Source organism: Homo sapiens, chromosome 14 (genome assembly GCF_000001405.40).
Source record: "Homo sapiens chromosome 14, GRCh38.p14 Primary Assembly".
NCBI classification, from domain to species: domain Eukaryota; kingdom Metazoa; phylum Chordata; class Mammalia; order Primates; family Hominidae; genus Homo; species Homo sapiens.
The window spans coordinates 22,812,157-22,836,493 of NC_000014.9; the positions used below are offsets into that span (position 1 = coordinate 22,812,157).

The 24,337-nt window shown below is 48.5% G+C and overlaps 2 protein-coding genes across 14 annotated transcripts in view, besides 10 other annotated features; one reads left to right on the forward strand and one right to left on the reverse strand.

Moving 5' to 3' along the window:
* Nucleotides 1-7,635, reverse strand: part of SLC7A7 (solute carrier family 7 member 7) — a 46,570-nt gene extending 38,935 nt beyond the window's left edge. Inside the window, exons 1-3 of one of the 4 annotated variants that reach the window (NM_001126106.4) lie at nt 7,482-7,635; nt 3,164-3,295; nt 744-1,284 (exon numbers count right to left, since the gene is read on the reverse strand). In NM_001126106.4, coding sequence (NP_001119578.1) covers nt 744-1,242 — 499 coding nt within the window. In that variant the 5' untranslated portion in view covers nt 1,243-1,284; nt 3,164-3,295; nt 7,482-7,635. Of the gene's footprint in view, nt 1-743; nt 1,285-3,163; nt 3,296-3,674; nt 3,716-7,481 lie in introns of those variants that run through there. The other 3 variants (NM_001126105.3, XM_011537299.2, NM_003982.4) reach the window with 3 other exon arrangements.
* Nucleotides 1,127-1,186: a silencer, noted in NCBI's record as "silent region_5589". NCBI's record gives its function as "represses an Ori minimal core promoter by ATAC-STARR-seq in GM12878 lymphoblastoid cells {active_cell/tissue: GM12878}" and the evidence as "EXISTENCE:reporter gene assay evidence [ECO:0000049][PMID:35858748]".
* Nucleotides 1,207-1,266: a silencer, noted in NCBI's record as "silent region_5590". NCBI's record gives its function as "represses an Ori minimal core promoter by ATAC-STARR-seq in GM12878 lymphoblastoid cells {active_cell/tissue: GM12878}" and the evidence as "EXISTENCE:reporter gene assay evidence [ECO:0000049][PMID:35858748]".
* Nucleotides 2,574-3,080: an enhancer, noted in NCBI's record as "H3K4me1 hESC enhancer chr14:23283939-23284445 (GRCh37/hg19 assembly coordinates)". NCBI's record gives its function as "activates a minimal SCP1, AML or CMV promoter by ChIP-STARR-seq in naive H9 embryonic stem cells {active_cell/tissue: H9 hESC(naive)}" and the evidence as "EXISTENCE:reporter gene assay evidence [ECO:0000049][PMID:30033119]".
* Nucleotides 3,269-3,368: an enhancer, noted in NCBI's record as "active region_8143". NCBI's record gives its function as "activates an Ori minimal core promoter by ATAC-STARR-seq in GM12878 lymphoblastoid cells {active_cell/tissue: GM12878}" and the evidence as "EXISTENCE:reporter gene assay evidence [ECO:0000049][PMID:35858748]".
* Nucleotides 7,791-8,363: an enhancer, noted in NCBI's record as "H3K4me1 hESC enhancer chr14:23289156-23289728 (GRCh37/hg19 assembly coordinates)". NCBI's record gives its function as "activates a minimal SCP1, AML or CMV promoter by ChIP-STARR-seq in primed H9 embryonic stem cells {active_cell/tissue: H9 hESC(primed)}" and the evidence as "EXISTENCE:reporter gene assay evidence [ECO:0000049][PMID:30033119]".
* Nucleotides 10,578-10,677: a silencer, noted in NCBI's record as "silent region_5591". NCBI's record gives its function as "represses an Ori minimal core promoter by ATAC-STARR-seq in GM12878 lymphoblastoid cells {active_cell/tissue: GM12878}" and the evidence as "EXISTENCE:reporter gene assay evidence [ECO:0000049][PMID:35858748]".
* Nucleotides 10,785-11,014: a silencer, noted in NCBI's record as "fragment chr14:23292150-23292379 (GRCh37/hg19 assembly coordinates)". NCBI's record gives its function as "represses an EF-1alpha promoter that drives an FKBP-Casp9 reporter gene in an ReSE screen in K562 erythroleukemia cells {active_cell/tissue: K562}" and the evidence as "EXISTENCE:reporter gene assay evidence [ECO:0000049][PMID:32094911]".
* Nucleotides 12,136-13,032: an enhancer, noted in NCBI's record as "H3K4me1 hESC enhancer chr14:23293501-23294397 (GRCh37/hg19 assembly coordinates)". NCBI's record gives its function as "activates a minimal SCP1, AML or CMV promoter by ChIP-STARR-seq in primed H9 embryonic stem cells {active_cell/tissue: H9 hESC(primed)}" and the evidence as "EXISTENCE:reporter gene assay evidence [ECO:0000049][PMID:30033119]".
* Nucleotides 17,635-17,714: an enhancer, noted in NCBI's record as "active region_8144". NCBI's record gives its function as "activates an Ori minimal core promoter by ATAC-STARR-seq in GM12878 lymphoblastoid cells {active_cell/tissue: GM12878}" and the evidence as "EXISTENCE:reporter gene assay evidence [ECO:0000049][PMID:35858748]".
* On the forward strand, nt 17,731-22,881 carry MRPL52 (mitochondrial ribosomal protein L52). Of its 10 annotated transcripts, XM_047430919.1 has the most exons (6): nt 17,731-17,792; nt 17,894-17,954; nt 18,031-18,098; nt 18,808-18,881; nt 21,262-21,326; nt 22,016-22,881. In XM_047430919.1, exons 5-6 carry the CDS (start codon nt 21,282-21,284, stop codon nt 22,163-22,165), a joined length of 195 nt encoding a protein of 64 aa, XP_047286875.1. In that variant the 5' UTR covers nt 17,731-17,792; nt 17,894-17,954; nt 18,031-18,098; nt 18,808-18,881; nt 21,262-21,281; the 3' UTR covers nt 22,166-22,881. The 10 variants fall into 10 exon arrangements, with proteins under 10 accessions (XP_047286875.1, NP_851821.1, NP_851823.1 ...); NM_181304.3 differs by having other exon boundaries at nt 17,731-17,954; NM_181306.3 differs by lacking the exon at nt 18,808-18,881.
* Nucleotides 24,087-24,303: a silencer, noted in NCBI's record as "fragment chr14:23305452-23305668 (GRCh37/hg19 assembly coordinates)". NCBI's record gives its function as "represses an EF-1alpha promoter that drives an FKBP-Casp9 reporter gene in an ReSE screen in phorbol 12-myristate 13-acetate-treated (for megakaryocytic differentiation) K562 erythroleukemia cells {active_cell/tissue: K562(+PMA)}" and the evidence as "EXISTENCE:reporter gene assay evidence [ECO:0000049][PMID:32094911]".

Consider the following 24,337-nt stretch of genomic DNA (forward strand, 5'->3'; position numbering starts at 1 on the left):
CCTCTTTTTTTTTTATTTTTATTTTTTTGAGATAGAGTCTCACTCTGTTGCCCAGGCTGGAGTGCAGTGGTGCGATCTTGGCTCACCGCAACCTCTGCCTCCTGGGTTCAAGCGATTCTCCTGCCTCAGCCTCCTGAGTAGCTGGGATTACAGGCACCTGCCACCACACCCAGCTAATTTTTGTATTTTTAGTAGAGATGGGGTTTCACCATGTTGGCCAGGCTAGTCTCGAACTCCTGACCTCAGGTGATCTGCCCACTTCAGCCTCCCAAAGTGCTGGGATTACAGGCATAAGCCACCACACCCTGCCAAAACTACATCTCTTGAAGGAACAAGAAAAAAAAATCAGTGTGCCTGTGGTCCCTGCTACTCAGGAGGCTGAGGCAGGAGGATAGCTTGAGCCTAGAAGTTCGAGGCTGAAGTAAGGTATAATCACACCACTGCACTCCAGTCTGGGTGACAGAGCAAAATACCTGTCTCTTTAAAAAAAAAAAAAAAAAATCAGGAAGAATATGCAAACTGCTAATAGTGCTTACTGTGAGAAGCTGGGGAAAAGGTGAGTGTTTTTGCGATACACTGTGGTACTGTTTGAATTTTCACACAAAGCATACTTTAACTATATATATATATATATATGTTGTCAGAGACATTCCTCTCTATCTCCTTCTTACTCCCAGACTGCACTCACATCCCAGCCTCTGTCCAGCCCTCCACCCACCACCTCCTACCCCAGCCCCACTTACAAATGCAGGCAGCAGCCAGCAGGCGGCTGGCAGCATAAGGGGCGAAGCAGCTCGGGAAGAGAGGCTGTACCATGTAGTTGGCAAAGGTGATGGCAATGATGGCCTGGCTGGTGGGCTCAATGATGAGCAGGGAGGTCCAGAGTCTGATGAAAGCAAGGAATCCTCCAAAGGCCTCCAGGATATAGGCATAGCTGGCCCCAGATTTCTTAATGGTGGTGCCCAGTTCCGCATAACAAAGGGCCCCAAAGACGGAGAAGAGGCCCCCGACAGCCCAGATGACCAGAGAGAGACCAAAGGAGGCACTGTATATGAGCACACCCTTGGGGGAAACAAAGATGCCCGAGCCGATCATGTTCCCCACAATCAGGCACACGCCGTTAAGCAGTGAGATCTCCTTCTTCAGCTTCACCTGCTCCGGCCCTGGGCTGGCCCCATCACCCAAAGGGGAGGTTTCCACCTCAGGCTGGGAGGCCACTTCATACTCAGTGCTGTCAACCATGGTGGAGGAGAGGAAACCCTTCACCAGCTTCCTGGCATTGCCCTTTAAGGAAGAAAGATGATGCTATAGATTAGGTGGTTGGCAATTACATAGAACCTCTACCCGCCTCCAACACAGGGTAATACGGGCAGCTCACCAACCAATGCGGAGACCTCCAAATAACCTTTTCTCCAGCTCACTCATCAAAACAACCCCAACTTGAATATTTGTCTATCTATCTATGTATTTATTTATTTATTGACAGAGTCTCGCTCTGTAGCCCAGGCTGGAGTGCAGTGGTGCAATCTCGGCTCGGCTCACTGCAACCTCAGCCTCCCGGGTTCAAGCGCTTCTCTTGCCTCAGCCTCCCAAGTAGCTGGGATTACAGGCACCTGCCACCACGCGTGGCTAATTTTTTTTTTTTTTTTTTGAGATGGAGTTTTGCTCTTGTTGCCCAGGCTGGAGTGCAATGGCGCGATCTCAGCTCACTGCAACCTCCGCCTCCCGGGTTCAAGTGATTCTCCTGCCTCAGCCTCCCAAGTAGCTGGGATTATAGGCATGCACCACCACACCCAGCTAATTTTGTATTTTTAGTAGAGATGGGGTTTCTCCATGTTGGTCAGGATGGTCTCAAACTCCCGACCTCAGGTTATCCGCCCGCCTCGGCCTCCCAAAGTGCTGGGATTACAGGCGTGAGCCACCTTGCCCAGCCTCCAACTTGAATTTTTAAGAGAAGGCACTCATTCGCCAGAGAGAAAGGATCTGTCTCTCATCATTAGGACATTGCTGCCCACCCGACTCACCAAATAGAGAACTAAATCTTGGGCCGGGCGCTGTGGCTCACATCTGTAAACCCAGCACTTTGGGAGGCCAAGGCGGGCAGATCACCTAAAGTCGGGAGTTCGAGACCAGCCTGACCAACATTTAGAAACCCAGTCTCTACTAAAAATACAAAAATTAGCCATGCGTGGTGGCACATGCCTGTAATCCCAGCTGCTTGGGAGGCTGAGGCAGGAGAATCACTTGAGCCCGGGAGGCAGAGGTTGCGGTAAGCTAAGACTGGGCCATTGCACTCCAGCCTGGGCAACAAGAGCAAAACTCTGTCTCAAAAAAAAAACAAAATCAAAAACAAAACACTAAATGTTGGTTCTCTCTGAGCCTGCTATAATACAAGACAGGCATGGGGGCAGTGTGGCGGCTCCCAGAAAATAACTATAATGGCTTGACCCCGAGTTTTCAGCCTTATCCAAAACCCGTCTTCCCTCCAATTTCAGCTTCAGGGATCACCTGTGCTGAGGTACAACATTAGGAACTGACCCTACCAGCAGCTAATCTGTGGGAGCGTCTCATGACACTGCTCTTTTCCCCAAGGACTCTACGTCTGCCAAAACTAAAGGCTTCAGAAACCTGCTGGAAACCCACAACCATCCTCCTGCCCAAAGAGCATCCCTTAACCCTTAGCTGGAGTCTTCAGCCCTGGCAAAGCCCAAGTAGACCCACTTCACCCTGAAAGAAGACAGGCTATTATCTTTTCCTTGCTTTTCCTTTCCCATTCTCTGGTATTCTAAGCCTCCTGCTATCGATCCCTCACATCAGCATCGTTGAATCACCCAAAAAAGTATGAATGAGAGAAGGGCGATCCAATGTACCATAAAACCTAGGGATGATTGGAGGCAGCTGATGGCCACTCCCTACCCCAGAGTTGCTGCTGGAGAGATATCACCCCGAGCCAAGGCAGGGAGACAGCTGCAGCCAGGCAGCACATGCTGGAAAACACCGAACAGGAGACAGCTGAGAGGAAAATGGGAGAGGCTAGTCAAGCAATGGAGAGATGTTAGGGTGAGAGGCACTCGGGAGAAGAAGCGATTAGACACTGCACAGCAGCAAAGAGGAGGGTTAGCAAGGTAAGTGGAGATGAGAAGAGGGTGGAACGCACACTCACTCCTTGGTCCTGGATATAAGCAGGTTCTCACGGCAGTGTGAGCAGCAGTCAGGGAGAGAAGTGCCTTCCAGGATCTGTGGTCTGATGCTCCTCCTTCCCAGCCAGCAGTAAAAGGGAAGGCCAGACAAATGCCTATGGATTTAAGCAAGAAGGGTGGAGGAGGTGAGGCAGCCCGCAAAGGAAGGAGTGAGGGAGGGGGAAAGGAGTATTAAGCAACCATCTGGGTCCAAGGTTCACTGGCCCTTCACATCTGCAAAAGGGGCAGCTAGGAGCTCTTGGCTCAGCACTTTCTGTGATAAGAAGGTGCTCTCTCAGGAATCTCCTTTGTCAGCTCTGCTCTGGGACCAGGGGCCCAGAAGAAAGGACAGTCAGCTGAGTGCAGTATCTGTAGCCCTGGGGAAGCTGTCCCAGAGCAAGTTAGCTGAGGACAGGACAGTAGCGGGGAAGGAATACACAGCACTCTCTCTCTCTGTGTCCTCCATGCCCCACCCTAGCCTCTCTTCTCTCTCACCCCAAGCATTTAAGAAAGGGAGGAAGGTTGCACAGTGTGACACAAAGGCTTGTTCCCATGCTGAGATTACAGGAAGTGTAAGAGCAGTCTCTACACCATGTGACTGGGTGTTCTAAGAGAACTCTGCACACTTCCCCATGCAAAGAGAGACTGGGGGGTTGCCTCCAAGCCTGGGCCACTGCCCCAAAGTCTGAGCCTCAGACTACTTCAAAAGAAACACAGTCAAGAGATCAAATATCTGACTGCATCCCCACCAGACCCACGTGCCTTTTCATTCTTGACAAAACATACCAAGATCTCTGGGATAAGCATAAATTCCTATAAACGCCTTCCTCAAATATAAGTTGACTCCACTTTCCTAAAAAATATGAGGAAATCAGGCCAGACGCGGTGGCTCACGCCTGTAATCCCAGCACTTTGGGAGGCTGAGGCAGGCGGATCACAAGGTCAGGAGATCAAGACCATCCTGGCTAACACGGTGAAACCCCGTCTCTACTAAAAACACAAAAAAATAAAAATTAGCCGGGCGTGGTGGCGGGCACCTGTAGTCCCAGCTATTCGGGAGGCTGAGGCAGGAGAATGAGGAGAATGGCATGAACCCGGGAGGCGGAGCTTGCAGTGAACCCACATTAGGCCACTGCACTCCAGCCTGGGCAACACAGCAAGACTCCATCTCAAAAAAAAAAAATTAAAAAAGAATATGAGGAAATCAGATTTCACTGAATTCTGTTGGACAGACAGGCCCAGAACAGGCAGAGGAAGCTGAGCACTTTTTGGAAATCACATAGTTTATGCTATCTTTATTATTTACTTTAAATCTGGTATTCTGAGTCTCTTTTACCAACAGAAATAGACCCTATCCATTCTGAAATCCAACTGTCTGTTTCTTCTCCTATCTGTTCTAACCCTCTTTGGTTATTCTACAACCAGAGAATAGAGATCTAAATATCTCTGGGAGACATCTCTACCATACATCCTCCCATTCTAGCTCTTTAAACTTTTAATTTAATCTAGGAGGAGGATTCTGGTGTGAGCGTTCCCAGAGATCATGCTTCTCCCAAGACAGGCTCACAATGATCTGAAATCCTTCTGGAGGAGACTCTCCTTTTCTCCAAAATGCTCCTGTAATAATAATTGCTATCACTTATTGAGCACTTACTGGGCCAGACACACTGCTAAGGACTTAAGCACATTATCTCATGGAACCTCCAGAGCTCATATACTCTTAATCACACAAGTATACTATCTCTCCATCTCCCCATCCCCCTGGCCTGCCTTAGTCTCTAGGCCTTCCTTTTATTTTTTTTTTTTTTTATTTATTTTCTTTTTTTGAGACAGAGTCTCACTCTGTCCCCCAGGCTGGAGTGCAGTGGCACGATCTTGACTCACTGCAACCTCCACCACCTCCTGGTTCAAGCAATTCTCATGCATCAGCCTCCTGAGTAACTAGGATTACACCTGGCTAATTTTTGTGTTTTTATTTCGGTATTTTTATTTTATTTTATTTTATTTTATTTTATTTATTTTGAGACAGACACTTACTCTGTCGCCCAGGCTGGAGTGCAGTGGTGCAATCTCGGCTCACTGCAACCTCCACCTACTGGGTTCAAGCAATTCTCCTGCCTCAGCCTCCCGAGTAGCTGGGATTACAGGTGCACACCACCACGCCCAGCTAATCTTTTTTGTTTTTAGTAGAGTCGGGGTTTCACCACATTGACCAGGATGGTCTTAAACTCCTAAACTCAGGCAATCCGCCCACCTCGGCCTCCCAAAGTGCTAGGATTACAGGCATGAGCCATTGTGCCCAGCCTAATTTTTGTATTTCTAGTAGAGACGAGGTTTTGCCATGTTGGCCAGGCCGGTCTTGAACTCCTGGCCTCAACTGATCCACCTGCTTCTGCCTCCCAAAGTGATGGGATTACAGGCGTGAGCCACCGATGCCACCTTAGACCTTGCTTTTGGACAGGAATTATCTACATGAATTACCTGGGGGAAGATGTAAGCAGACTAGATTAAAAAGAAAGAAAGCCTCTGTCATCCTTCAGTCTATAGCCTAGACGAAAGGCTCCAACAAAGTTTGTTAATCTCCTTCCTGGCTGCCCCTCCCCTTTCTCATTCTTTGCAGGGATAAGAGGTGATTACAAGTCCTCTTGGCAGTGCTGCTATTGCTAGGGTGCCCACTTCTAAAGCAAACAAAAAAAAAAACACAAACACATCATCACGCCTGCCCTTTTAAGACCAAATTCACTGGCACCAAGGGGTGGGCATGTGTCCTAATATGACGTAAAAGAAAGGAAGGAAGGAGGGACAAAGGAAGGGAAAACTGTGAGGGGGAATGGAGAGAGAAGTGTACAGGGTTTCATTCCTGACTGGTAGCATCTGAAAAGTGAAGTCCTATCCGTGGAATTTTGAGACAGAAATCTGCTGGGGGTAAAACCCACACTCCAGCAAACAGCACGCCCTAGTGGTAGCACCAGGAAGTGCTAGTGGACTCTAACCTACTTCAGTCTGCCCGTGCGCACTAGGCAAGGGAGGCTGCCATGCATTGAGAACATGAAGACCCCCTCTTTTCTCAACCACTACCTAGCACCCTGGACAAGAAGGCACCATCTTTGGCAGCTCACATTTCTCCCTGAGACCCTGGGTCTTAGGGTAATGCTTCCACCATTCAGGCAGCCCCACCATTCAGGCAGCCTGGGACCAGCAACACCCCTAGGCTCTCCCAAAGGGGCTCTTCTACCCCAGGTTTTTGGTTTTTTTTTTTTTTTGGTTTTTGGGTTTTTTTTACCCGAGATGGAGTTTTGCTTTGTCCCCCAGGCTGGAGTGCAGTGGCACAATCTCTGCTCACTGCAACCTCTGCCTCCCGGGTTCTCCTGCCTCAGCCTCCCAAGTAGCTGGGATTACAGGTGCCCGCCACCGCGCCCAGCTAATTTTTGTATTTTTAGTAGAGATGGGGTTTCACCATGTTGTCCAGGCTGGTCTCGAACTCCTGACCTCGTGATCCTCCCACCTCAGCCTCCCAAAGTGCTGGGATTAAAGGTGTGAGCCACCGTGCCTGACCCACCCCAGGTTTTACATGAGAAACCCCATAAGATAACAGCAGCCCTTGTTGCCTTTCCCTGTCTGAGATGCATTCATCTCTGAACACCCAGTGAAGATTACAGGACAACACACTCATCCTACAGCTTGTGGAAGAAATTTGATTCAGAAACTGGCAGCAGGGCCTCCAGTATGCAGTGCTGGGCAGGACAGCCAATGGAGCCCCTCACCCTAACCTCACCCTCGAATGACAACACCAAAACACAATTTCTCCAGGAACTAGTACATAATTCGGGGTCTTGGCTCCTCAGCCAAGCTCAGGGAACTACTATAAGAACACACTTTCTCTCCCAGAGACCCCATGTCCTGCCTTCCTGGCTCCAATCAGTCTGTGCTGCCTCCCCTAACAACAGAAACAGAAAACAGATACACTCTGGTATGACTAGATTTCCCCATCACTCCAAGCTAGAAGCTCAGCTCCTCCCTCCCCAGTTCTCTGTTTGTTTTTCTATATTCCACTGTGGCTAAGACAGTCTCTTTAAAAAAAAAAAAAAAAAGTGAAACAAAAAAGAAATTGTTTACTCCTGTGGCCAGGGCTTCCATTAAGGAAGGGCTGAAGTCTCTGGGCAGAAGGTTCAGCCCAGGGAGGGACAGGGCTGGGATCAAGAAACAGGAGGCTCTTGGGTCTCCATTCAGCCAATTTTTAGGACTCCATCCTCCTCCTGCACTTCCCCTCTCGCCCATTGTCCCTCCTCTCCCACCTCTTACCTGTCCAGTGACCTTTGGGCAGGTGCGGGGAGGAGGGGCTACCAGCTGAGTCAGGGGAGAGGGGAAGGTGCTAGTTAGGAGAACCAAGCGTATCGCTCATGCTGCAACAGCTGTTGACTCTGAGGAGCAGAAAAAGCAGAGGGTAACGGGGACTGAAATGGAAAACAGGAAAACACATGTGTGACTCTGGCCGGCAGCGGGGAGGGGCCAGGGGACGGGCTGGAGCTGGGACTGCCTGGTCAGACCCAGAGGACCTCAGTGCCTGCCCGCCTCCAGGCACCTTCTCTACTACACTGGCACCAAATACCTGAGTCTCAGCTCCTTCTCCTCCCTACCTCAGCCTCACCCCCCCCTTCCTTGTTGCCCTACATTTACTGAGCACTTAAGCTTTCCCCTCCATTGACAGTGACCTCTGATGCCTCTTGCAACTCCACTCATCCCATTTCCTACTCATCTCCCACTCATGTACTATCCTTAGTTCTGCAGAGGGGATACGATCCCATGGTTAGGGGAAGGAAACTCTGCAGTCCCATCTCAAGAGTGTCAGTGCCATTTCAGCCCCTAAAGCAAGCCAAGGGGAGGTAATGCAAGCCAAGGAAGACCACTTATAGGGGGACAGCCAAGCACACATTTAAACACCAAGCAAGCTCACTCACAGCTGAGATCTCTAATTGGTTCAGGTGATATCGATATATGTCGCCAGGTAAGAGCCAACTGGGCCATGGCACCCTGGGCAGACTAATGAGTTGGCATCCCTTCGAACCAGTTTTATTTAAACATCCGTCGAACGTTTACTTAGCAGAGGTGGGGGAAATATCAATTTTCCTGGAATACAAATTGTGTAAGCCTCTTTATATTTAAAATTAGAAATTATTACACATCAGCCGGGCACGGTGGCTCACGCCTGTAATCCCAGCACTTTGGGAGGCCGAGTCGGGCAGATCACAAGGTCAGGAGTTCGAGACCAGTCTGGCCAACATAGTGAAACCCCGTCTCTACTAAATTTACAAAAATTAGCAGGCGTGGTGGCGGGCGCCTGTAATCCCAGCTACTTGGGAGGCTGAGGCAGGAGAATCGCTTGAACCCGGGAGGCGGAGGTTGCAGTGAGCACTCCAGTCCAAAAAAAAAAAAGAAAAAAATTATTACATATCTTCATCACATGCAATCTTCTGAAGCAAACAACTTCTTGGTAAGCATAGTAAACCACTTAAAATGTGGATAATAGTATAAATCTCTTGCCCTCAGGGAGCAGCATTCACAATGCATCAGGAATTTTTGGAATTACAACTGTGACTAACGCCTTTAAGCAACTGTCAGCTGGCTGGCCCCAGGGCTACATCCTGCAATTTGCACCTGTCTGTTGGAAAATTACTCCAGACACAAGCAGTCCAGGTAAGGAGTTGTCAATAAGTCTATGTCACTGGATGAAAGCCAACTCATATTTCACCAAGACACAGAAATCATAGTACACTGGCACCAAATACCTGAATTATTCCAAAGATATTTTAGTGTCCTTTAGACACTCTCAGCCTGCTACCCAACTTGCCGGCCCCTTAATTGCACTCTGGAGTCGGGTCCAAGTCGTAAGGGAGGTCCTAGAAAGAGAGAAGCTGTCCTTGTCTGCATGGGCCTCCCTGCTGTCTTCCCCACTCCACTCCAGCTTCACTGGCTTCCCTGCGGTGGCCGCACAGCAAGCATGCTCCCGCCTCACAGCTTTTGCAACTCCTGTTCTCCCTGCCTGGAACATGCTTCCCAGTGATATTGTCCATTCCCGGTGTCATTTGTTTGCTGTCAGCACTCCCACTAGAATGTAAGCGTCACAAGAGCTTTGTTCACTACTGTATCCCCGCAGTGCAGGGCTCACATAGACAGTTAATAAATGTTTGCTGGGTTAATAAATGAATGAATGAACTATGTTATCTATTTGATTTCCCAGGTGGCTAGGCTCCTGCGCATGTCCTTGAATTTGCTCTCCAGGCCCTCCTGTTTGGCTGCCGCTCTGGCTCCTAAGCAAGGAGTACCCGGAGGTACTCTTTTTGACAGTAATGCGTTAAAGGCAAAGAAGAAAGTATGGCTTTCACAGTTTTACTGGGAGGCCTAGAATGATTTGAAACGGACTTTTGTTTCATTAATGGGAAAAGCAAAGCAAAACAAAAAGCCTATCATCTAACACTCTTTCCCTGGATCCAGGAAATTCTTGTCTGCTCTACCTCACACCCAAGCTCAGGTGACCGGTCTGGGTGCGGCGTGGAGATGGCGAGAGCTAAGTGCTATGGCCGCGAAAGGGTGAAGGGCAGGGGAGGAAAAGGCCGAGGGGAGGCGAACGCTCAGGTTCACACATATGCAAGTGGGCTCTACAGCGGACTTCGAAGCATACACTCAACTCCCCACCATGCGCCGGCCCGCTGCTCTACCCCTGAAAAGCTCTCCCCTGGCCCGCGATCCTTGCTGGCCTACCCCTTGGTCGTTCCCATCCCCCTCTCCGCCCCCGCCCAACCTGCTGGCCTCACTCACCTTTGTCCCTTTCTCCCATCCCCACCCCCCCACCACCCTCGCTTTCTCCGGGCCCCTCCCTGTCGTTTGTCTCCCTTTTATTTCCCTCCTTCCTTTGGGCCCCCAGTCTGCGGCCCTAGGACAACGCCTTCCCAAGCTCGGACCCAGCCACCGTCCGCCTTCATTACCCCTCTGAAGAACAGGGTGGCCCCGAGGCCCAGGTCTGGCTGTGGGGGACCAGGACCTCACCCCAACAGGCGTCCCTTGCGTTCCCTCCACCTGGCCAAGCAGCCCCCGCCCTTCCCCCGACTCTAGGAAGCGCTAGAAGAGGGAGTTGTGGTGGGTGTAGGCGAAGGGCGCGCAAAGGTCCAAGCACCGAGACCTCGCAAACCGCTCCCTGTCCGCTCCTCGCTCCCGCACAGCTGGATTACTGCGGGGAAATGAAAATGACCGCGGATACCCTTAGAGACTGGTCCTCCACCCCATGAACGCTCAGCTTCCTCTTCCCTCCCTCCCAACCCTGCATAAGCTGGCGGCCAGACAGGAGTCTGGGCGAGCGCCCCAACCCCTGACCACAACTGCCTCCGGCCCCGAGATGCTTGGCTGAATCTCGGTAGTGCCCCCAGACGGGAAGCCCCTTGTTGGGGGGGCGGGGGCGGGAGGCGGGGCGAGGAATGTGCCTCCTCGGAGCCGGAGGAGGGGTCTCCCGAAGGCCGTCTCTTCCACCCCGGGTTCCCGACTCCCCGCCCCCTCGGGGTAGCTGTTGCATCAGCTTCCAGATTCCAAACCAAAGAAAGTGGGCTCCACTAAGCTGGGAAGGCGTCGGGCAGCAAAGCCGCCGCCAGGAGGCAGCGCTTAATCAAAAATGTCCGGGCCGAGGGGGCCCAGGATACCGGAGTCCCCGGAGCGTCTTTCATCTGAAGTCTTAGCAGCAGCGCGGACCTAACAAAAAAGGGAGTTGCTGAATTAGTTCAAGAAAAGGCAACTGGAAATGCTTCATCACGTTTTAAGGCTAAAAGATGGCTTGTAAATAATATAACTACCTTTTATATACCTTTTGGATAATCTAGCTTTGGGGTTTTTTAAGCCAACGTTGGCGCTCTGCGGAGATCCACAGAGAGCCACCGCCTTCAAGAGCAGTCTGATAGAAACACACAGAGCTTACGGAATTTCCCAGCCGCCAGGCAAGGAGGAATGTAGTCCGAAGTCATGATTTGCCCATCTTGAAGCTCAATCATTTAACACCTAATTTAGCCAGTACTGATATAGCAGAGATTTGACAGCTCTGGGAAAAGAAGCAGAATATGTCGCAATAAATTATGTAAATAGTAAGGAAATAATATGCAAAGTAGTGTATTGAGTAATTTGTAGCCACAGTTCTCACATTTCTTGCATGAGGTGACAGTGATTTGTTCTTTGTACTGTCCTAAAAAGGGAGATAATGAAAGAATTCCCAAACAGTTCACTCTTCTCTCCACAACTTCTTCAATCTTAGAATGTTCTCACAGGCATGCAAAAAGGAAAAGAGATTGCAAAATGAAGTAGAATTGCCTACCCAGAGTCAGCTTCCTTCGTCTTATGTTCCTTCTCCAATGTCATTATCAATCACAACAATTACAAGGCACCTAATTTCCCAGAGCAAAGCACTTGTACAAAAGTAACTGTAGGGGCCGGGCGCGGCGGCTCACGCCTGTAATCCCAGCACTTCGGGACGCCAAGGCGGGCGGATCATGAGGTCAGGAGATCAAGACCATCCTGGCTAACACGGTGAAACCCAGTCTCTACTAAAAATACAAAAAAAAATTAGCCGGGCGTGGTGGCAGGCGCCTGTAGTCCCAGCTACTCGGGAGGCTGAGGGAGGAGAATGGCGTAAACCCGGGAGGCGGAGCTTGCAGTGAGCCGAGATCGCACCACCGCACTCCAGCCTGGGTGACAGAGCGAGACTCTGTCTCAAAAAAAAAAAAAAAGTAACTGTATAAATACAAACTTACAGAACAGAAGGAGGCTATTTGGATAAACATATTAGACAAAACATGAGCTCACTACACCCTTGACCTTCTGGGCTAAAGCAATCCTCCAGCTTCAGCCTCCCAAGTAACTGGGACTTGGTGGTGGGTGCCTACAGGTGGGTACCCAGCTTTTTTTTTTTTTTTTAGATGCAGTCTCGCTCTGTCGCCCGGCTGGAGTGCAATGGCACCATCCCGGCTCACTGCAACCTCCGACGCCCTGGTTCAAGGGATTCTCCTGCCTCAGCGTCCCCAGTAGCTGGGATTACAGGCACGCGCCACCAAGCCCAGCTAATTTTCGTATTTTTAGTAGAGACGCGGTTTCACCATACTGGCCAGGATGGTCTCAATCTCCTGACCTCGTGATCCGCCCGCCTTGGCCTCCCAAAGTGTGGAGATTACAGGCGTGAGCCACTGCGCCCGGTTTTTGTTGTTGTTGTTGTTTGTTTTGTTTTGTTTTTGGGGGGGGGTTTTGGTTTTTTTTTTTTTTTAAGAAACAGAGTCTTGGCTGTCTCTAAAAACTACAAAAATTAGCTGGGCATGGTGGCATGTGCCTGTAATCCCAGCTACTCGGGAGGCTGAGGCATGAGAATCGTTTGAACCCAGGAAGCGGGGGTTGCAGTGAGCCGCGATCACGCAGCTGCACTCTAGCCTGGGCGATGGAGTGAGACTCTGTCTCAAAAGAAAAAAAAGAGAGAGAGACAAAGTCTTGCTGTGCTGCCTAGGCTGGGATAACAAAATGTTAAAGCCAAATACAGGGCATGATGCCCTTGAAAAGCAAAGCAGTTTAAGAGAGGAAACACAGGAAGCACAGATGCCTGATGCTTCACATTATTCTTAACTCCAGTCTTTGCCAGTTGAAGTCCAGAGGTTAAAAGACATTCAGTTTAGGATGACGAAGCTGCTTTCCTGTGGCTTCTGAGGCAGATGAAGTCATAGAGGAGTGCTGTCCAGGTGCCAGACCCCTCCCTCCAACAGAGTTCCATGAGGTCCCTGAGAATGCTGATGATGTTAGTTGTCAGCGCTCTGGGGTTCTGTCTGTCTCTCTCTCTCTCTCTATCTATCTATCTCTGTGTCCAGGTAGGCTGAGATGAGAGGTAGCTGTTTGGGTGAGGAGCCCTTTTCTGGTATTTACAACCCATGGATTGTCCCCCTGCTGTATCACACTAACCACATCAAAGGTTAAATTTAGGGAGGCCCAGACAGGAAGATTGCTTGAGCCTAGGAATTCAAGACCAGCCTAGGAAACATAGCAAGACCCCATCTCTACAAAAAAAAAAAAAAAAAAAAAAAAAAAATATATATATATATATATATGGGCTGAACTTGTCTTCCTTCTTCTTCTTCTTTTTTTTTTTTTTTTTTTTTTTGAGACGGAGCCTCGCTCTGTGGCCCAGGATGGAGTGCAGTGGCACAATCTTGGCTCACTGCAACCTCTGCCTCCTGGGTTCAAGTGATTCTCCTGCCTCAGCCTCCCGAGTAGCTGGGACTACAGGTGTCCACCACCGCACCTGACTAGTTTTTGTATTTTTAGTAGAGATGAGGTTTCACCATTTTGGCCAGGCTGGTCTTGAACTCCTGACCTTATGATCCACCTTCCTCGGCCTCCCAAAGTGCTGGGATTACAGGCGTGAGCCATGGCGCTTCTAAAGACGCTTCTCTTCCCAGATTTCCTAGTTCCAATGACAATTCCCATCCTGCTCCCAAAGTCCTCCGGCTCTGGCTCCTTGACTCCCACATCTGTTAAATAATTGTACTTGTCCACTTTTGCATGCCGTGTTCATATTATACACATTATTTGTTCACCTAAATGCATATGCCCCACTCCACCCCAGATGTTTTTTTTTGTTTGTTTGTGACAGTATCTTGCTCTGTCACCTAGGCTAGAGGACAGTGGTGTGATTACAACTCACTGCAGCCTTGACCTCCCCAGGCTCAGGTGATCCTCCCACCTCAGCCTCCCACATAGCTGGGACTACAGGCACACGCCACCATACCTGGCTAATTTTTTGTTTTGCTTTTTGTTTTTTGTTTTTCCGAGATGGAGTTTCACTCTTGTTGTCCAGGCTGGAGTGCAATAGCGCGATCTCGGCTTATTACAACCTCCACCTCCCACGTTCAAGTGATTCTCCTGCCTCAGCCTCCCAAGTAGCTGGGATTACCGGCACATGGCCACCACATCCAGCTAATTTTTGTATTTTTAGTAGACACAGGGTTTCGCCATGTTGGCCAGGCTGGTCTCGAATCCTGACCTAGGTTATCCACCTGCCTCAGCCTCCCAAAGTGCTGGGATTACAGGCATGAGCCACACCGCCCAGCCAATTTTTTGTATTTTTTGTAGAGACAGGGTCTCACCATACTGTCCAGGATGACCTCAAACTCCTAGGCTCAAGCAATCCTCTCACCTCACTGACCTCAACATCCCAAGTAGCTAGGACCACAGGTGCATGCCACTATGCCTGGCAAAACACACACACACACAAAAATTAAATTTTAGTAGAGGCAAGGTCTGACTGTTGCCCAGGCTAGTCTCAAACTCCTGGGCTCAAGTGATCCTCCAACCTCAGCCTCCCAAAGTGCTGGGATTACAGGCCATGAGCCACAGTACCTGGCCAGTTTCTCATCTTTTCTGTGTGTGTGTGTGTGTGTGTGTGTGTGTGTGTGAGTTTCACTCTTGTGTGCAATGGCGCGATCTCGGCTCACCACAACCTTTGCCTCCGGGGTTCAAGTGATTGTCCTGCCTCAGCCTCCCGAGTAGCTGGGATTACAGACATGCACCACCACACCCAGCTAATTTTGAATTTTTAGTTTGGGGTTTAGACGGGGTTTGACGATGTTGGCCAGGCGGGTTTCAAACTCCTGACCTCATGATCCACCCGCCTCGGCCTCCCAAAGTGCTGGGATTACAAGCGTGAGCCACCGCGCCCAGCCTAATGAGGGCCTTTTAAATACAAACATGCACACATGTATCCACAGACACACGCATCTTGGATATTAGCCTTTTAATTAAGCTGACTTTTAACTATTGAGCTCCTTAACAAAAGAAAAAAATATATTTTTAAATCTCATTACCATATTTCAGCTATGACAAAATGCTACTAAACTAACGATGATCACACTAATTATACAGTTTCTGAGTGCTCTAAGTGTAAGCAGAAATTAACACCTGCTGGCTGTTAAATGCTAACTTTAGTCGTTTAAAAGGAATTTGCAAGACAAAATCCCAAACCAGTTTCTTACCTAGTGATGGGTCTCAGGCTGTAGACTGTTCTCTACCAGCCTAGAAGCAGGAAAAAAAAAAAACTCATCTTCCCTATTGGAAGTGAGTTCAAACTCATGGAAGCAGGAAAATGTAGGAAGCAAGTAAAACTCCAAAAAAAAAAAAAAAAACAGTTGTACAAAATAAACTTTAGATCTCGACCAAATTTTGGAAGATCAGGGATTCTCTGGAGGGGATGCTCTCAGACCTCAGCAAATTGTCCTACTTGTTTGAGCCATAAAGTTAGCTCATGCTGGTACCAAGCACCGATAGGAGATTTCTTTTATTTTTTTGAGACGGAGTCTCGCTCTGTTGCCCAGGCTGGAGGGCAGTGGCACGATCTTGGCTCACTGCAATCTCCGCCTCCTAGGTTCAAGTTATTCTCCAGCCACCCGAGTAGTTGGGATTACAAGTGCATGCCACCACGACCGGCTAATTTTGTATTTTTAGTAGAGATGGGGTTTCACCATGTTGGCCAGGCTGGTCTCAAACTCCTGACCTCAAGTGATCCACCCGCCTTGTCCTCCCAAAGTGCTGTGATTACAGGCATGAGCCACCACGCCCAGCCAATAGGAGATTTTTTTTTTAAGGTCAAGGGCATCTCCACTCAGAATTCCTCTGTGCTTACCAAAATGTGAAACCCCAAAATTTGAGACAGGTCTCAGTTAATTTAAAAAGTTTATTTTGCCAAGGTTGGGGATGTGCCTGTGACACAGTCTCAGGAAGTCCTGAAGACATGTGCCCAAGGTGGTCCGGGCGTAGCTTGGTTTTATACATTTTAGGGAGACATGAAAATGTAAGAAGTCACATTAGTTCTGTCCAGAAAGGCAGAGACAGCTCAAAGCAAGGCCCCCTCACTGGGGGCCCCCAGGTCACATGTAGGTGAGAGACAGATGGTTGCATTATTTTGAGTTTCTGACAAGTCTTTCCAGAAGAGGTAGTCAGAATATGCATCTGTCTCTGTGAGTAGACAGATGACTTTGGATAGAATTGGAGGCAGATTTGCCCTGAGTGGTTCCCAGGTTCTCAGCTTGAAGAGGACCAAGATATTTTCCCTTCACACCTGGCAGACAGTTAATGGGCTCTTTTGTAGGAGTTTCAGGATTTATAAAGCACTTTCACTCACATTATCACTTTTAGATCGTTTTCACAAATGTAACATATTAAGCATTTTTAAAATTAAAAAATGAAGGATAAATGACTTCTCCAAGACAGTACTGAATAGCAAGTGATAAAAGGAGGGGAGTCGCCAATCAGGGTTTGCCACTTTCTAGTACCTACCTCACAGGGTTGTTGCAAGGATAATATTAAGCAATGTGCGGTGGTAGCACTTATAAAAATGGAATGTCACATCTTAGCTCCAATACAATACCCCTTTCTCAGGAAAGTCATCTTTGATGGTCTACTGTAGATCAAGTTCACACTATAAACTCACAAACAACATGTATTTCCTTTCCCAGCACTCAATGACAATATTCATGTATGTCATCATTTGATTGTCTGTTTTTTTTTTTTTAGTTGGAGTTTCACTCTTCTTGCCCAGACTGGAGTACAATGGCGCAATCTTGGATCACCACAACCTCTGCCTCCCGGGTTCAAGCAATTCTCCTGCCTCAGCCTCCCGAGTAGCTGGGATTACAGGCATGTGCCACCATGCCTGGCTAATTTTGTATTTTTAGTAGAGACAGGGTTTCTCCATGTTGGTCAGGCTGGTCTCGAACTCCCAACCTCAGGTGATCCGCCAGCCTCAGCCTCCCAAAGTGCTGGGATTACAAGTGTGAGCCACTGCACCTGGCCTGTCTTGTTTCTTTTATACCGAGAGCTCTATCAGGATATTGATGTCTGGTTTTGTTCTCCATAAAATCTACGCCTAATACAGCACTTATCACACAGAATTTTTTTTGAGACAAGGTCTCGCTCTGTTACCCAGACTGGAGTGCAGTGGCATGATCTCTGCTTACTGCAGCCTTCGGCCTCCCAGGCTCAAGCCATCCTCCCACCTCAGCCTCCCAAGTAGCTGGGACCACAGGCATGCGCCACCACACCCAGCTAATTTTTCATTTTTTTGTAGAGAGGGAGTTTCGCCATGTTGCCCAGGCTGGCCCAATTTCCGATTAACTCTAGATTTGATTACTTTTCTTAGTCTAGGAAAACTGTGTTACAGTGATGCGAGGATCTGTAGAATGACGTGGATGTTACCCCTGAGATCAAAGTTACTATTAATATCAATTTCAATGAACTAGAGACCGCTGTAGGGAGGTTGTGGGAACTGTTCAGAACGGCTTAATCTGGGAGGACACGACTTCCACTGAGAATGCATGCGCTGAACGACAATTCGTTTTCACCTCAAAAACCTGTACTGCAGTTTTGTCTCTCCTTCCGTACGATGACCCAAGATGGCGGAGCCGTGATTGAAAACCCAGATTCAAGATGGCGACTTCCTGCTTCCCCGATAGCGTCGCGCGTGGCCACCGAGGCCACGCCTACTTCCGGCTACCCCGGCTACTCCTGCTCAGCATGGCTGCTTTAGGGACTGTTCTCTTCAGTGAGTGGGTATAGATAGGGACCGTGGACTCGGGGGCCCTTTGGGGACGGGCACAGGACCCCTGATCCGGCTGCGCGGCCTCTCCCCCAACTCTGCTCTGTTCTCCCAGCAGGTGTCCGGAGGCTGCACTGCAGCGTAGCCGCTTGGGCGGGCGGCCAGTGGCGACTACAGTGAGTCCTGGGATGAGGGCACCTGGGGGACCAGAAGCTGGGCTAGGTCCTCACAGATCTGTTTTTCTCCACACAGGCAGGGACTGGCTGCCAACCCCTCCGGCTACGGGCCCCTTACCGAGCTCCCAGACTGGTCATATGCGGGTAAGCGCTGATCTGGCAGTTAACTCCACTGGGGAGATTTTCACCTAGAGGGAACGCCCCTGGACGGGGAGCTGGGGGTATCAAGGTGGGGGCGTGTAAAAGTGTTTAACTTTTTATTTGGAAAACGGAATTTGGGGAAAGAAACCCTCTTGTTTATTTTGTAGATTGCATTTCGACTAAGGAAGGTAAAGCTAAACAGGATCTTGGCTTGTGGAGATAAGCAGAAGATAATTCTGACTTGGGGCCGCCAGGGTGGAAGGGGGTGACAAGACTTCTGCGTTTTTCAAAGGGGGACATTTTTTTTTAACCAAGAACCACTTTTCTCTGTGGTTAGTGAATTTTCAGTATTTGGTACCAAATGCAGGGAGAGCTCTTTGAAAAGCTGCAGAAATAAGCGTCTCAGAGGGGTAGAAGGATGAAGACTATGGATGGCAGGCTCCCTTCAGAAAATTCTTTTACCTTTACTTACAAAAGAGAGAGGGAGGGAGAATAAATATTAGCCCTAGAAGGGAGAACCTTAGAGAAGTTGAAGCTACTCCCCATTCTCCTTATGAGACTCCAGTGTACAAGTAGGAAATTTGAGGCCTACAGAAGTGAATTGCACATGATCATACAGCTAGGTAGTAGCAAATCCAGGACTAGAACATAGGCCAGTCCTCCTTGACAACACAGAGATCTGAATATTTAATACCCTATTGTTGCTCTCTAGGGGTATGATCCTGCTTAATTGGATAATTGGTGACTGAGGAAGATGGTGAAGATTTTTTCTACTTGTTATTTACTGTAAGAAGCCTGGCATCTCCTTGTAGTAGTATGGACTATTGGAAAGACTCTGGAATTACATATGACTGCTTTTTTTTTTTTTTTTTTTTTTTTGAGATGGGGTCTTGCCCTGTCACCCAGGCTGAAGTGCAGTGGCATGATCATCGCTCACTGCAGCCTTGATCTCCTGGGCTCAAGCAGTCCTCCCACCTCAGCCCCCCAAGTAGGTGGGACCACAGGCACACACCACCATTCCTGGCTAATTTTTTTTTTTAACTTTTAGTAGAGACAGGCTCTTGCTATGTTGCCCAAGCTGGTCTTGTACTCCTTAGCTCAAGTGATCCACTTCAGCCTCCCAAAGTGCTGGGATTACAGGCATGAGCCACCACGCCCAGCCTATGGACCTTATTCTTAATCCAGGCTTCCCTTCTCGCTAAGTTTGTGGTCTTGGACAAATTACTTAATTTTATCTTAGTCTCAGTTTCCATATCTGTAAAAGAATACCTATCTCATGTGGTTCTTTTAAGGATAAAATGAAACAACCAATGTAAAGCATGTGGCATACACAATATTGGTTCCCCTTCCTGGTAAATAACACCTCTTCTCTGTCTTGCCTTCAAACTTTTGGGCAGAGTTTTCACTCTGTTTCTTTCTTTGCGGAAAGTAAACTACTTGGGTTAGATACTGCATCTTTTCAGCAAGTCAGCAGGTATTTATGGATTTTTATTAACATGCTTATGTGTCTACACTATACTGTGAATAGCAAAAGCTAGCAACACAGTCCCTGACCCAAAGAACTTAAAGTCTAACTGGGACAAAGCATGGACTTTTTAAAAATTAAGTAATAGTATTCAGGGCCATGCATCTACAGTTCCAGATACTCGGGAGGCTGAGGCAGGAGAATCGCTTAAGCCCAGGAGGCAGAGGTTGTAATAATCTGAGATCATGCCATTGCACTCCAGCCTGGGCGACGGAGCGAGACCTTGTCTCAAAAATAATAATAAATAATATTTCAATACTCTGCGCCTTTCCAAAAGGACCTGAGGTAGCTAAATAACACTTAAAAAAATAAAACAGAAGAGTACAGTAAATGTCCCAAGGCAAATAGGTGAATATTAAATATTCAGTACTTCTTTCAGAAGAGAAGGCTGATGGACTTGAAGAGATGAGCGTTTCTGGGAAAGTTAGGGTTTGAGTGGACCTAAGGATGAAGATTTGGCTGGAAGAAAAGGAAAAGAGGGCATTTCATTGTGGAGTGGGATGGAATTTAGCAAAGGTACATAGAACAACAGTGATCACATTGCTTAAGAGTTTCTGGTTTTTTTTGTTTTTTGTTTTTTTTGAGATGGAGTCAGGCTCTGTCGCCCAGGCTGGAGTGCAGTGGTGCGATCTTGGCTCACTGCAAGCTCAGCCTCCCGGGTTCAGGCCATTCTCATGCCTCAGCCTCCCTAGTAGTTGAGACTACAGGCGCCCACCACCACGCCCGGCTAATTTTTTGTATTTTTAGTAGAGACAGGGTTTCACCGTGTTAGCCAGGATGGTCTCAATCTCCTGACCTCGTGATCCGCCTGCCTCAGCCTCCCAAAGTGCTGGGATCACAGGTGTGAGCCACCACGCCTGGCCAAGAGTTTCTGAAGACAAAACAGTAGATTCAGCATTGCAGAGGACCTCAAATACAAGGCTAGTGAGAGTTCAGTGAAATAGAGTAGTAAATTAGCCGGGTGTGGTGGTGCGCACCTGTAATCCCAGTTACTCGGGAGGCTGAGGCAGGAGAATTGCTTGAACCTGGGAGGCGGAAGTTGCGGTGAGCTGAGATCATGCCATTGCACTCCAGCCTGGGCAACAAGAGCAAAAGTCTGTCTCAAAATAAAAAATAAAAAAGGCCGAGCACGGTGGCTCATGCTTGTAATCCCAGCACTTTGGGAGGCCGAGGCAGGTGGATCACGAGGTCAAGAGATCGAGACTATCCTGGCCAACTTGGTGAAATCCCGTCTCTACTAAAAATACAAAAATTAGCCAGGGATGGTGGCACGTGTTTGTAGTCCCAGCTACTCGGGAGTCTGAGGCAGGATAATCTCTTGAACCCGGGAGGCAGAGGTTGCAGTGAGCTGAGATTGCACCACTGCACTCCTACCTGGCAACAGAGCGAGACTGTCTCAAAAAATAATAAATAAATGAAATAAAATGAAATAGAGTAGTAATATGTCTAGGAGCTTATTCTGGGTTATCGTACCTCACCCTTGAAGATGATGGACATATTTTAGGATAATTAAGCTACAATGTATATGAAATGGAAGAGAGGAGCTAGAGATTGGTTCTTCCCTTATTCCTATCACAGTATTTGCACAAGGTGATGCAGTCCATCTCTAACACTTGACTTTTCTCTCACTTCTACTTGTAGATGGCCGCCCTGCTCCCCCAATGAAAGGCCAGCTTCGAAGAAAAGCTGAAAGGGAGACGTTTGCAGTGAGTGGTTAGAGCAACAGCCAGGGCTACCTGGAAGGAGAACATTTAAATCATAATTTGTCTTGAGCTGTGTTGCACCTAAGCAAACATGTACCCCTCATACAGAGGTTTTATTAATAACAGCCAAAGGTTTTTTTTGTTTTTGTTTTTGTTTTTTGTGAGACGGAGTTTCGCTCTTGATGCCCAGGCTGGAGTGCAATGGCGCTATCTCAGCTCACTTCAACCTACTCCCGGGTTCAAGCGATTCTCCAGCCTCAGCCTCCTGAGTAGCTGGGATTACACACGTGTGCCACCACACCCAGCTAACTTTGTATTTTTAGTAGAGACAGGGTTTTTCTATGTTGGTCAGACTGGTCTTGAACTCCCCACCTCAGGTGATCCGCCTGCCTCAGCCTCCCAAAGTGCTGGGATTACAGGTGTGGGCCACCATGCCTGGCCCCAGCCAAAGGTTTTAATAGCACTGTGAGAAGGGAGGAAGAGAGTGGGGCACTCCCAGGACAGGAACCAGTAGTAGACATCCTGCTGCACATTTTGCTGTCTCCCTCTGCTTCCCAAGCCAGAACTCGCTCCCACTGGGGAGTCAGCAGCGTCATTTTCCAGATGAAACCTCTGAATTTGTAAGTGGAAGGATATATAGTATAGCGCTGAAGTCCCAGATGTTATCCACACTGTTTTCCTGTCTGTTTCAGAGACGAGTTGTACTGCTGTCACAGGAAATGGACGCTGGATTACAAGCATGGCAGCTCAGGCAGCAGAAGTTGCAGGAAGAACAAAGGAAGCAGGAAAATGCTCTTAAACCCAAAGGGGCTTCACTGAAGAGCCCACTTCCAAGTCAATAAAAAGCAACTCCTGCCTCCCTTCCTCACCCTGTCTCTGGATTTCTTTTCTATCACCTAGATGCTTCATCCAGCCAGAAGATAGCCTTCACGTTCCCCATCTGTCTTCAGAGAAAAAGAGCTGGGACACCAAGAACAAGCTGTTAGATCACTGCCTGGGAGGCTTGGCTTAGTACTCTCATCTCTGGTTCCATTCCAGTTCAGCTAAGTCTTGCTTTAAAATTTTTACCTCCTAGCTGGGTGCGGTGGCTCACGCCTGTAATCCCAGCACTTTGGGAGGCTGAGGCGGGCAGATCACAAGATCAGGAGTTCGAGACCAGCCTGGCCAACCCAGCCTGGTCAACATGGTGAAACCCTGTCCCTACTAAAGATACAAACAATTAGCCGGGCGTGGTGGGGTGCGCTTGTAATCCCAGCTACTCAGGAGGCTGAGGCAGGAGAATCGCTTAAACTCGGGAGGTAGAGGTTGCAGTGAGCCAAGGTCACACCATTGCACTCCAACCTGGGCGACAGGGCGAGACTCCGTCTCAAAAAAAAAAAAAAATTTACCTCCTTTGCAGGCCATAGGACTAGCCCAACTATGAGAAATAGCTGTTCTGTGAACGTGAAAAGGGGACAGCAGTTTTCCCAGTTTTGGCCAGGCAGTCAAGCCTTTAACAGCTCATGCACAGTTTAGGCCATGTACAGCTGGCATCTAATAAATGTTTTCATGAAAAAGATTTTCTAGCCAAGGTCCCTTTTTTGGCAAGCATCTGGTGTCAGTCTTCCTAAGATTCAGATATGTGGTCCAGGAGGTTACCCCCACTGGGAAGGCTGATGTGGGAAGAATCATACCTGGGTGTTGCGTGTTCTGCCGAGAGTGGGGTCCTGAGGTCTCCATGGTTCTGAATGCATTCCAGAGATTGGTTGAAGAGGGGCCTGTACCTCCCAACCCCAGCTTGTGTAGGAAAGCCCTACATAAGGGCTCAGCCCTCAGTCACTGTGGGGTAGGTAGCTGTTTAATAACACACACCATATACCTCCCACAAACCTGGAGGCTCCACAGGACCTGAAAAGCTTTTCATTTTATTGATCATGAATCTGAGGGCAAAAGACCTTTGTTTTCATTACAATACTGAGCACTAGACTTCTATTCTTCTGCCACAGAAGTGCATCCCTAGGATTTCTGGAGCTTCCTACCTGACCTAATTTCTGTCCACCCTCCTCTATTCCTTCCTTTGCTTTCTTCTCCCTTCCTCCTCGCACTACCTCTGTCCTCTCTCACTGGCCAAATGCAATTCTTGGATCTTAGATTTCGCTGATAGTCTAGTTTTCTGTCTCCCACACTTTTCCTGCTTCTGTTGTGCTTCTTTTCCAGACCTGTCTAGTTCCCAACTCATCTGTCTCCCTTTCTCACGGTCAGCTTTATCCTGCCCTCTCCCTTCCCTACATACCTCCACCTTTTGTTCTGAGTCCAGTAAGTCCCTAAAGGAGATTATAACTCTTTAAGAATTGCCTCCTTTTTCAGTGTAGAGGTGGAACTAAACCCCAGAGTCCCAACTCCCAATCCCTTCTTTTACAATAATTTCACCCAACTTGATTTGCTTTCCCCCAGATCCCACGGCCTTGTACCCTTTTCCTCCCAGCGAGTTCCAATTAAAGGTGCAGCCACATTACAAATGACAATAAAGGAATCACCTTTGTCTTTCTACAAAGGTTGGAGCCACAGATCCGGTATGGTTGTGGGGTTTGTTGTTGGTAGTTGGGTTATAGTTTGGATTTTTTAGCAGCAGAGGGAGGGACATAGACAGTTGTCTACAGGGCCCAGAAGATAACCCCCTATTAGTAAACTGGCCCCTTCTCCCTCTGCAGGTCTCATGGGCATGGAAGAAGACCCCACCACCATCCCACACTCTGAGCTCCTCGTTGCCCCTAGCCACATAGCCCCCAATAATTCCCACCCTGAGGTGAGACAAATGCTGAATACCAGAGGAATCAAGCCACTCAGAATATGCTTATAGGGACAAAGTCTCCCACATCCCGTCCCCTGGATCCCCCTACAGCCCCCTGCTGTCCATCGCGGCCTCAACCCCTGCAGATGGCAGCCTGCACCACAAAAAGGCAACTTAGAGGTGTTTTTTTTTTTTTTCCTTCCAGTTCTTGGTTGTAATTGGATTCAGGCTAAAACAACCACGT

Bases quoted from the DNA above. Each gene is read 5' to 3' on its own strand.
- MRPL52 (NM_178336.3), top strand. From the start codon at position 17,757: ATGGCTGCTTTAGGGACTGTTCTCTTCA. The intron at 17,955-18,030 runs GTGAGTCCTGGG...TTCTCCACACAG, and splicing joins GGCGGCCAGTGGCGACTACA to GCAGGGACTGGCTGCCAACC. The intron at 21,327-22,015 runs GTGAGTGGTTAG...TGTCTGTTTCAG, and splicing joins CTGAAAGGGAGACGTTTGCA to AGACGAGTTGTACTGCTGTC.